Source organism: Homo sapiens, chromosome 12, assembly GCF_000001405.40.
Source record: "Homo sapiens chromosome 12, GRCh38.p14 Primary Assembly".
NCBI classification, from domain to species: Eukaryota; Metazoa; Chordata; class Mammalia; order Primates; family Hominidae; genus Homo; species Homo sapiens.
Window position 1 is genome coordinate 66,771,185 of NC_000012.12, and position 12,079 is coordinate 66,783,263.

Below are 12,079 nucleotides of genomic sequence, written 5' to 3' on the forward strand. Positions count from 1 at the left end.
CTCACACTCACAGCCCATTTTATCTTTTGGAGGCTTAATCTCCCACTTAAATTCAGAAAATTCTTAAATTCGTTTTTAATGATGATACTCTTATTCTCATTATTACATTTTTCCAACCTGATACTCAAATGTAATATAGTAATACAATGCACCATTAAGTCTCAACTATATTTAAATGTATATCTTGAGCCATAATCATACAAGACCTTGCACAGACACAACACACACATAGATACAGCAATTCCTATAAAGCCAATGATAAAATTAAAATCAAACCATTGAGTACATCATAAAGTAATGCCCATATGTTGTTTATTGCTATAGATCCATAGGGTATATGTTAAGGCTGAATTAAATTTGGGGTTCATTTTGGTCCAAAGAGACTTGGAGATAATTTACTTTTGGTCAATCCCAGCGCAGAGAGGTCCCCAGGAATGAGTCAGTTCTTAGGCTCACTCAGATCCACAGAGTTACACAAATGACCTGGCTTTTCAGAGCCTACTGGGTCCCACCCCAAGGCCAGAGAGTCTCCTGCTGTTGGTTTAGAAAGAAAGAAAGTTCTTTAAGCCTGTAATGAATAAGAAATGTTATTTTACTAGCTCTGACAAGTGTCTAAGTCCTTAGGGTTTGGGCCACATACAGCCAAAAGTCTCAGATCTAAATGAGGTTACATCTGTGGAGGCTCACTGCAAGTGCCACGGTCTATAGAAAAGTTTTCAACATATTAAAACAGGATCTGCACATACAAATGGTTCATAAAAAGGACCAAAGGACCACAGGAAAATTATAATAAATATGGTGATAATAAAGGCGATAACTAAATAGCCAAGACTTATGGAGAACTTGTATTCTAGATGCTGTGCAGATATTTTACATGGTTATCTCATTTGGTCCTCTAACAGCCCCATGAGATAGGTAAGATATCATCCCCATTTTATAGTTTAGGGAAATGAGGCTTAGTGATTTCAGTTATTTGTCCAAGGTCATGTGCTCATAGATGGCAGTGCCAGAATGTAAACCTGGTCCTGTGATGTCCAGAGCTAGAGCTCTCCATCCCATCCTCATCTGACTTTCAATAGAGAGCGATTAAGCAGAGGACTCCCAGGTGTGTTTAGATCTTAAATGAGAAATTATAAAACACAGAGGAATTGTCATATAATCAAGAAAGAATACTAAAATGTAATCCCAAATGACAGTGCAGGGAGCTAAAACCCCAAATAAACCATATCCTTCAGAAAATTGCTGAAAGCAACACATTTTATTGGTGGAGTCCCTGATTGAGAACATCAATCCTGTTGGTGCCAAGCTTCAGCCACAGTTGGGCATTTTGAAGGATTAATGGGATATGTCTTTAACAGAGGGGTGTGAAACCATCAACAAAATAACATGTGCTAAGGGAAAAAGCTACTATTACTAAAAGACTTGATCTGAAAAGGTAAAGGCCTCAGGTTAGAGGGGCACCTGATTTTGGGTTCATTGGTGTGTGTTACCCCCAACATCTAGGCTTGTGCGGAACTCTGGGGATTGGAGATAGAAAAGCATTCCTTCTTTAAAGCCCCTTAGGCTTTGGTGAGCACAAAGTAGCTCAGCTCTGAGGCCCTTGTGACAAAGTATAGCACAAATGGGAGGGAAAGAGCTTTTCTCATTTAGACTGATTATTGAAACCCACTGGAGACCCAAATTAGGCCTGAGCACAAGCTGGTAGCCATGCCTCAGACCATCAAGAGTGGCAAGATATAAGAGAGGAAACCTTCCCCCAAATGTGGCAGCTGGGAAAATGAAACTTCCTACACCAAGTGGACAAAGGATTTCCAAAACAAGCTGGAGTGCTTGTCTGTTAAGGAAATTCAAGAGGAGGAAGAATTCTGCAATTCTTCAGTGATGGGTAGGGGTCCACACAATGGAATGGGTAAAGGGAGGCAGAGCTGAGAAATGACATTTTCGTAGTTACTGAGGTCCGCATTTACCTTCAGGTCAGTGGGAACTTTGAAAGTTGAGGTTAATGATGTTATGTCTGGTCTTGGCAAGAACAAAGAAAAGAACCAAATCATCGATGGGCATTTGGGTTGGTTCCAAGTCTTTGCTATTGTGAGCAGTGCTGTAATAAACATACCTGTGCATGTGTCTTTATAGTAGAATGATTTATAATCCTTTGGGTATATACCCAGTAATGGGATTGATGGGTCAAATGGTATTTCTGGTTCTAGATCCTTGAGGAATTGCCACACTGTGTGAAGCTGGAAACTATCATTCTTAGCAAACTAACACAGGAACAGAAAACCAAACACCGCATGTTCTTGCTCATAAGTGGGAGTTGAACAATGAGAACACACGGACATAGGGAGGGGATCATCACACACCAGAGCCTGTCAGGGGGTCGGGGGCTAGGGGAGTGATAGCATTAGGAGAAATACCTAACGTAGATGATGGGTTGATAGGTGCAGCAAACCACCATGGCATGTGTATACCTATGTAACAAACCTGCACATTCTGCACGTGTATCCCAGAACTTAAAGTATAATAATAAAAACAAAAAGAAAATAAAAGAACCAAATCACTGCTTTTGTTTTGTGGGGATGGGGGTTAACTGCTGTAATGTTAAGAAAATATAAAAAGCAAACAGAAGTATTAAACTTTTTGGCATGTCTTTTCTTTATCAAAGAAAGCATAATATGCAAAAATATACTATGAGGCAGCTCTTAGTGCTTTAGTTTAAGTGGACTCAAGACTTCACACCCAATGGTTTACATCAAAAGATACAAATGATGAAGATCCAAGAACTGCTGTGATTAATCTCTGCATAGTCATGGGTAAACCTGAATGGTGCTAGAAGATGGGAGTTAAAAAAAAAAAGTATCAAAGTTCAAAGTTCAAAAATGGAGAACAGTATATTTGACAATGAATTCAATGAGATATTGACCTGTAGTAGTAAAAGGACAAAACCAAATGCTTGAAAAGTGACTTTCAGGGCCACCATATACTCATTGTGTGACTAGGGAACAATCTTCCTGCCTCTAATTTGCCATCCATAGAAATGGAATTCATTAAGATCATTAACAGGCTCACTCCACCTCCTAAGGTCTGAGGGAGGCTCAAATGAGATCATGTTTTCCTATGAAAATGCTCTGAAAACCAAAGCTCTTAAAGTTGCCATGCCCAATAGTTCTATCTACAGTTTATATAGACAGAAATAAACTCAACCCAATATGAATGTGACACAACTGAATTAATGTGTTAAGAAGTGACTTAATGAAGATTAATAAAGCACTCAACTTGAACAGTAAGACAAAATCCAAAAGAATGGAATGTAACAGGGACACACTTGTCTTAATATGTAAAACATTATTAATATGCACAGGCCTAAGCAAGTGGGGAGGTGTAGACTTAACTTTGGAGCCTTTGATGTAGAAAAAACTTTGGAGATTTCTTTTTACCACAAGCTAACTATGAGTCAAGAATATGACCTGGATGATAAAAAGAAATGCAACCATAGGCTACACGAATGGAAATATCATTCCAGTAAGATAGAGTGGGACTGGAGCTACACTTGTACTATTGCAGCCTCAATGTACTGTTTGGAGAGTGCTTTAGATACACTGGCAGTCCATGGGATTTTAAGGGCTGGCTTAGAATCCTAATGACCATAAACAAGTTTTCATCAGGAAAACAAAGTATTCAAAGTTCTGAACAGTCAATTTACTAATATACTTTAGAATATAGCTCATTAACAAAGAGGGGGAGGGGGAGAATACAGGTACTTGGGGCTGTCTCTTACACAGAATCACTCCCTCCCCTGTGCAAGCCTCTCATTTCACAGGTGCTTGCTTGCAAAGATGATTTGGAAAGATGGAGGTAAATTAACATATTGATTTCCCAGCACTCTGAAGGCCATAAGCAGACACACTGGGTCATGTTTCAAATGATGGAATGTGAAATTAAATTAAAGGATGCATCTGTGCTCAGCCCCTAATTGCCAGCCTAGTGGATGTTTTTAAGGAGCACAGAGAGGGAGGAGAGAGAATAGGAAGAAGCAAGGTGAATGCATTAGAAAGCCTGAAAAACAAGCTGAAACAAAGGGGGTTGGGACAATTAAGAATTTCTATGTGCAGATTAAAGTTGACAGTGTCTGTTAAATACATCTCCATAATTTAAAATACACGTGAGAGGAGTCATCAGTTGGCATCTTTGACAACACAGTAGAAGTTGTAGAATCATTCCCCTGGCCACATTTCAGGTATCTGAAAATGTAATATAGTTAGAGGAAATTAATAGCTGGGTCTGGTTTTTTAAAATCATCTTCATTTGTCAATTTTAGCTTTAAACATTTGTCATGTTAGCTTTAATCTAACTGGTTCTGGGATGGAATCTATTACAAAATAGATCCTAAACAAAAATATTCACTTCATCTGTGGCCTATTTCTGTGGTCAATCAGCTATAAACTAGCCTGTAACTGGACAGAGACCTTTCATTTGATGAAGATAAAAATTTTAAATATATTTAATAATAATTATTTATAAAGTTATATAATTCACCTCTATTTGGTATAAAATAAAAAGCAGAGAAAAAACAACTGCTCTTTCTCCAACTCTACTGTGCAGAAAATTGATATTCTGTGATATACTGATAGGTGTTACTAGGGGGAAAAATGGTTTTCTGTGGTCAAATCAATTTGAGAAACACTGGAATAAAGAGTTTTCTTTCCCGCAGGGCTTCTCAAAACGCTTAATATGCTTATGTGCAAGGAGGAGGGAGACACAGTATAGCATTGCCAAAATGGAACATTTGTTACTATCTCCAGGGACCCACACGTTCTGGGAACACAGGCTAGGAAAGGCTGCTCAGACTCCTGACCCAGCACACAATCCTCTGTCCAAATCCAGTTGCAAATCACATTTCAAAGATTCTGAAAACTAAGTGATGGTATAGTCAATGGCCTAATGACCTCAGCAGCCAGATGCCCAAGGCTACAGGCCAGAAATTGCTGCATAGTTTCAAGATGACAAAACAGATAGAAGCAAATAAAGCGACAGGACCCTGGTTTAACTGTATTTACTGTCACCTACATAGGTATCCAATTCAGTCCTACTCAGGTTTTTGTATATTTAAAGAAATGCTTACTTTAGGGATTAAAAATAAGAGAACAAATTGACTATTTCTATCCTGAACACTAAAGATAGAATACGTACTTGTTCTCAGCTAGCAGTCAAGAGTAGGTAATACAATAAATCAAAGACTTTCACCGACAGTTGAATAATCACTGAATAACAATAACTTTAATTAGTAAATTAATGACATAGGATTATATAGCATAATTCAAACAGAATTAAGCAAAGTTCTAGTCAAAGGGAGAGGGTGTAAAAAAATAAGAGGTTAGCCCTGCTCTCAAGAAGCTTATAATAAAGAGTGGAACACAAGGACATGCACAAGTAAATACAGAGCAATATTTGCTATAATCGCTGTAAAGTGCAAATCCATTTGACAGCCCAGAGAAGAGGAAGAGCGGGGTAGAATCTACATTATTTATAATTTAGAGTGCAGAGTGATTGCTCAAAGTGACGCCAATAAGAGAATACTTTTGCTTATTAGATTGGCAGAAGTAAAATTGTTGATGAAATGCCATAGTGATAACAGGAAAACAATCACTCCCAAACACTGTGGATCACATACATTTGTACAGCTTTTTCAGAGGCAACTTGGCATTATCTAGAAAAATTAAAAATAGACATTGTAGCTGTCATTATTAGGAATTTATCCTGCACATAAGATCACACACATGTGCAAAGATATGTTGATTCCAGGATATATACACGGTCTTGTAGTTCTGATAAAAACAGGTCAGAAACAACCTAAGTATCCATCTCAAGAGAAGACTGGTAAATACATCCTCTGTACCACAGGATGCTTTGTGGCTGCTAATCAGAACACAGCAGACCTTCTTACACTCAGAGTGAAAGGCTCAGTGGTGACAGGAGCCTTGAAAGTGCAACAAAGTGGCAAAGCCACACAGGATCTGCTGCACTCCCCACCCTGACCTCACTCACGCTGTGTTCCCCTCTCTTGCCTCACTCCAGCCACACTGGCCTTCTGCTCCTCAAATGTGACAGGTACCCTCCCAACTTGGTCTTGGTGCTGCCCTCCTCCTCTTGGAACACCCTTCCCCCTGAGATTCACCTGTAACTAACCCCCTTGAATCCTTCAAGATATTGAGCAAACCTCACCTTCTTAATGAGGTCTACTCTGAGCACCCTATTTGTGATGGAAACTGCCCCCCAACACAGAATTTTACTTTTTCTTTTTATTCACAGTACCTATGACTTTCTAACACACTTGCTATATAATTTACTTACTTAGATGTTTATCATCTATCTCTTGCCTCTAAAATATAGTCTTTGAAGGCAGGGGTGTTGAACAGTTCTGTTTACTGATGTAACCAAGTCCCAAGAAAAGTGTGTGGCACATAGTAGGTTGTCAATAAGCATTTGTTGAATTGAATGGACCACACATATATGTACACATACATGCAGATGCACATGCATGCATACCTACACACACACGAACACACACTTTACCTGAGTACAGAATAACTCCAAAAAGTATGTAAGAAATTGTGTTTGACTTTGAGAAGAAAGACTAAAGAAGGGAAGATCAGAAGCATGCAGAAATACAGGAAGTCTTATTTGCCAATGTTTACCCTATTATATGTTATTACTTTCTTTCTCCCTCCTTCCCTCCCTCTCTCAGTGTAATCCATTATAGTAGCCACTAGCCACTCATAGCTAATGAGCACTTGAAACACGCTAGTCCACATCAAAATGAACTGTAAAATACACACCAAATTTTGAAGAATAATATAAAGAAAGCAAAATACCTTACTAATAATTTTTATGTGGATTGCATGGTAAAATTATACTATTTGCAATATACTGGTATAATAAAATACATCATTAGAGTTAATTTCACCTGTTTCTTTTGGCATTTTAAAAGGTGGCTACAGTAGAATATACAATCATATATGCAGCTTGAATTTGTGATTTGTATTATATTTCTATTGAACAATAAAACGATCTCTCCAAAAAGAAATTTTACACACACACACACAGACATATTATTAAAAGTGGCAAAAAGACTCTGAAGTTAGATAGATAGGCAGTCATGAACTAAAAACCAGCTTTGCTTTTACTTAACTTCTCTGAGCCTTAGTTTCCTTTGCCAGTAAATGGGGATATGATCCCCTACAATATTATAGTGGAAATTAAAGGAGATAAATGCATATAAGATACTTGCTACATAAACGTAAACCATATAATGGTACAGTGCTGGATTTGTTTCTAGAGGAAATAGTGTATAAAGCTACTATAAAACCATGAGCCCTACCACCAAGCAAGCAGTAAGACAGTGTCGTTTTTCTGCATGTTTGTGTAGCCCGTGTTACCTATGACAAAAAAAGAATGTAAAGACACCCTATAAAGAAACAAATCTTGCACAGAAAAACACAAACTGGAGTCAAATGAAGAAATGAATAATTTAATTTTCAGTGTAGTGCTGGAGGTGCTCCAATCTATGACATTTCTATATGTAAACAGTCTGATATATTCGATACGTGCAAAATTGCTCAGTAGTAAAAACTTTAGTAGACATAGGAAAGGGAAAGGGGAATCAATGGAAAGCTGTGGAGCTTGTACCAACACTGTCCAGATGTGACAGGTGATCAAGATACGAAGGAGAAGTCTGAACTGACCTCACCTCTAGCCAAAATTTGAAAATGTGAGGAAGAACTCTATCCCGTTAATGTGAGATTAAGAGAAGAACACATTAGCTGGCCACATAGCTTTGGGAGCACTTTTCCCCAAAAAGAGAAATTCAAAGAAAAGATGGAGAAATCAGAAAACCGGCTCAATAAAGATGAAGTGCTATACTTCAGGAAAATGTCTTTGTTAACATATAATTTCAAGGAGAAAAACTGAAATCAGATTTAAGTTGCCCAAGGACAATTTGTCTTTCCTATTCCAGGTCAATATGGCAGGTTTTCAAATTAAGCTGGACTTTACTATCTGACAAACCACAAGACATCAAACAGAATAATAAGAACCTCTTGAAAATAAAAATCATGTGTAATGTAGTGTAGCATTTATTTTAGTGGCTGAATTTATTTTAATGGCTTTAGAAATGATTTTAGTTCTGTATTCAAAAAAAACCATTAAGAGTCACTTAAATTTTTCAGTTACACTTTACTGCATTTTATGGGGTAGATTTTATGTTATAATACTGGTGAATTTGTGGATACAAGAAGACCTTCTGGGCATATTCCTCATGAATGTCACACGTTTATTGTATCAAAGAATATTAAACATGGAAACACTTCTTAGTAAGCTGAGGTTCACAAGACAAAGCAGCTTAGAGATCATAATGATAGTTATCATACAATCGGGAAACCTGGATTAGTCATTCACTTTTCATTCGTTCATTCAACCTACTAATATTTATTGAACATCTGTGTAACAGGTACTGGGAATACAGTGTTGAACAAGACAGACAACATTCCATACATAATAGTGTTTTGGGGGGACCCAGTAAACAAGTAATATCACATAATATGTGCAGTAGTGAAAATAAAATGGAATAATGTGGTAGAGAATGATGGGGAAGCTACTGTAGACAGGAAGGTCAAGTCTGAGGACATGGCATTTAAAATGATATTTGCATATTAAGAAGTGGTCAGCCACATGACTATATTCAGGAAGTACATTCCAATTGAAAGGCCCTAAAGCAAAGTTAAAGAACATAAAAATTAGTGTGGTGAATGTATCAGGAGGCAGGGAAGGAGCGGGAGATATGGAGTGGGATTTCATTTGGGGTGTACTTGGGTAAGATGTTGGTGGTAGTGGCAGCATAATTTGAGGTTTTCCCAAGTCCCCACATAAAAACAGAGCAACTAGTTGGTCAAAACCCTAAGGACAACACATACATCAAACCCGGAGATGATGTATCTCACAAACTCCAAATTATAAGCAAGTGAGGACAAGCTACCAAGAAGAGCAGGAATCAGTGTTTGTGCAAGAGAAAGCAGAGAGAAGCAAGCAGGCATCTGATGGATGCGGGAACAGGAGAACCTCCAAATAGTCAGCAGGTGTTCACTAGAGAGTGTTACATGCCAGTTTGGTAACAGTGGTTGAAAATACCCAAGTCAAAGCCAGTGAGGGCTATGGGCTCACGGCAAGACCCAAGGGGCCATGTCTGTAGCAGTCTTGCCCCTGTGAACTCTTGAATCTGACCAGGTGGGCTCCCTTCCAGGACAGGACCCCATATTGAGGAGAAACTGCTGGGAGTGGAATCAAAATTAATCAGGACAGGAACAACAGCAATGGAGGAAAGAGAAGATCCAGATGAAAGGAAAGGCATACTTTCCAAAGCAGCATCCCACAATGTCTCCCATGTACTGTTTACAGTGTCACCTTGACACCTTTCCCATTGAGTGATGAGGTCTATATCCTCTCCCTTTGAATCTGGGCTGAATTTTGGGACTTGATCAACAGAGGATGGCAAAAGTGTCTTTATGTGACTTTTAAGGCCAGATCATAAAAATGCCATGCACTGCCGCTTTGCCCTCTTGGAATACTCTATCTTGGAACCCAGCTGTCATACTGTGAGAAAGCTCAAACTAGCCCATGCAGAGAAGCCACATGTAGGTATTCTGGCTCAACTAGAATACCTGCATGTGCTAGAATACCTACAGTTGAGCTGAGGTTTCAGCTAACACTAAGCTGAGGCCCAAGACAGCGTGGAGCAGGCAAACTGTCTGCTGTGCTCCATCTGAATCCCTGACCCATAAAGGCCAAGAGCATGATAAAATGATTATTGTTCACCACTGAGTTCTAGGGGAGTTTGTTACCCAGCAGGTAACGGCGATACCACAGTTTTAATTAAATATTCTGTCTCGTGGTAACATTTATAAGGTACACTTACTTTAAAAGTTGTCTTAATTTTTGGTAAATTATAAAACAAACTCAATCCCAGTGGAAGGGTTCCCCTTTCAAAAGAGTAGCTTAATTGATTGGGGTAGCACAATCAATTTTCCCTTGCTTTCAATGGCATCTCTTGCTAGAAAATGCTTCAAAAACTGTGCCAGGGGAAGTCTGTTTTTGTTTTTCCAAATGAAGCAGTGAGGCTTATTTAGGTATCTTTCTTTCTGTCCTTTTTAAAGTAACTTATTTGCAAATGGTAGAAATTGATTAAGTAGAATGACCACATAATTTATCATCCAAACTAGAAAAAATCATCAAAACAGCTTTATTGAGATACAGTTCATATACCAAAAAAATTACCCAAGCAAAGTATACACAATGTTTTCTTATTACACTCATAGAGTTCTGCAAACATCTCCACAATCTAATTTTAGAATTTTTTTCATCTCCCTCTAACCTAGGACAAATTGAAAATGAAAGGAGCACTAATAATAATTATGCAAGAACAATAGGTATGAATTTGGTATATCCAGAGTCTGTCCAAGGCAAACTGAAGTGAAGCATCACTGAGGTAGAAGATACAGGTATTGGAGAGAAAGCTGTATAACTTAATTCAAAATAGGAGGCTGCATGAAGGTTTTAAAACAGATAATCAGAAACCTTCTTAGGTAGGGGAAGGGTGTATAAATTGGTATAGCCATTTTTGAAAACTATTTGGCAATATCTATCAAAGCTGAACATATGCATGTACTATATGACCTAGCAATTCCACTCCAAAATATACCAATGGAAATGACTACTAACCGTATGATGATTTCATTTATATAAACTTCAAAAACATGCAAAAGTAATCTATAACATTACATTCCAGATCAGGATGGTGGTTAACCTTGGATAAGAATTAGTGACTAGAAGGAGAGGCATAAAGGGAATTTTGAGGTGCTGGCTAATGTTCTACTTCTTGATCTGGATGCTGGTACATGGTTATGTTCACTTCTTAAAAATTCATTAAGTTGTACACTTAGAATCTGTGCACTTTTTATATAAATGTTACACTTCAATAAAAATCCTATATAGAAATGAACAGGTTTGTGTTTGATAAAGAGATATTAGGAATTCGGATTGAGATCGGATTTTCAAGCCCTCCCAATTAACAGAAAGCTATCTTAAAGAAAGCAATTAAGAGCAGTTAGTGTTCACACAGTAGCAAGTGGTTGTTAATTTTCTTCTTAACACCTTTCTCTGGAACTGGAGGCAATGAAGTTCCTGGGGAAATAGAAGTGGTGAAAAACAAAAGGTCTTTCCCTGACATAAAGGAATGTTTAAGTAAAGACTGAAATAATTAACTACCAATTAGAAACGGAGGGGGCTTTTTGTTTTAGTTTGAGTTTTTAAATGCTTCTGCTAACCAGAATAGTATTTTAGAATTGGAAGTAATTTTCAAGATCATGCAATCAATTTCTTTCACTTCTGGTTATGGAAACTAAGATTCAGAGAACTGATATGATAGCCCCAAATTGCATAGGTAGTTAGTGACAAAGCTGGGATCAGAACCCAGTACTCTTGACTCATGAAAGATTTTTCCTATTTACAAAGGTAGTTACTCTTACTGCTTGCTATGTAACAATCTCTGCCTAAGTTTTCCTATTGCTCTCCTCTCCACAAGAGATGATAGATAGGTATAACAGTTATCTCCATTTTACAGAGAAGGAAACTGAAGATGGTTAGAGAAGTTAACATACTTTGACAAAATTAAAAATCAGTTAAGTAGAGATGCCAGGATTCTGATCATTTCTCACTCTGGAGTCTGAGATTTTAACCAAGGGGCAATACTGCTTCTTTGAATTAATAGTGCATTGCCATATTTCTCAGCTGAAAGGCAAATGAGTAAAGGTACTTTTTTTTTTTTAAGACACTCTGTCACCCAGGCTGGAGTGCAGTGGCACAATTTTGGCCCACTGCAACCTCTGCCTCCCGGGTTCAAGCAATTCTTATGCCTCAGCTACCTGAGTAGCTAGGATTACAGGCATGCATTACCACACTTGGCTACTTTTTGTACTGTTTTAGTAGAGACATGTGTTTTGCCATGTTGGCCAGGCTGGTCTTGAACTCCTGG

General features: G+C 38.0%; 1 protein-coding gene across 13 annotated transcripts in view, besides 1 other annotated feature; it reads right to left on the reverse strand.

The window, feature by feature from the left end:
• GRIP1 (glutamate receptor interacting protein 1) overlaps positions 1-12,079 on the reverse strand; it is a 721,908-nt gene that overhangs the window by 423,754 nt on the left and 286,075 nt on the right. The window lies entirely within an intron of this gene.
• Positions 11,001-11,502: an enhancer, noted in NCBI's record as "NANOG hESC enhancer chr12:67175965-67176466 (GRCh37/hg19 assembly coordinates)". NCBI's record gives its function as "activates a minimal SCP1, AML or CMV promoter by ChIP-STARR-seq in primed H9 embryonic stem cells {active_cell/tissue: H9 hESC(primed)}" and the evidence as "EXISTENCE:reporter gene assay evidence [ECO:0000049][PMID:30033119]".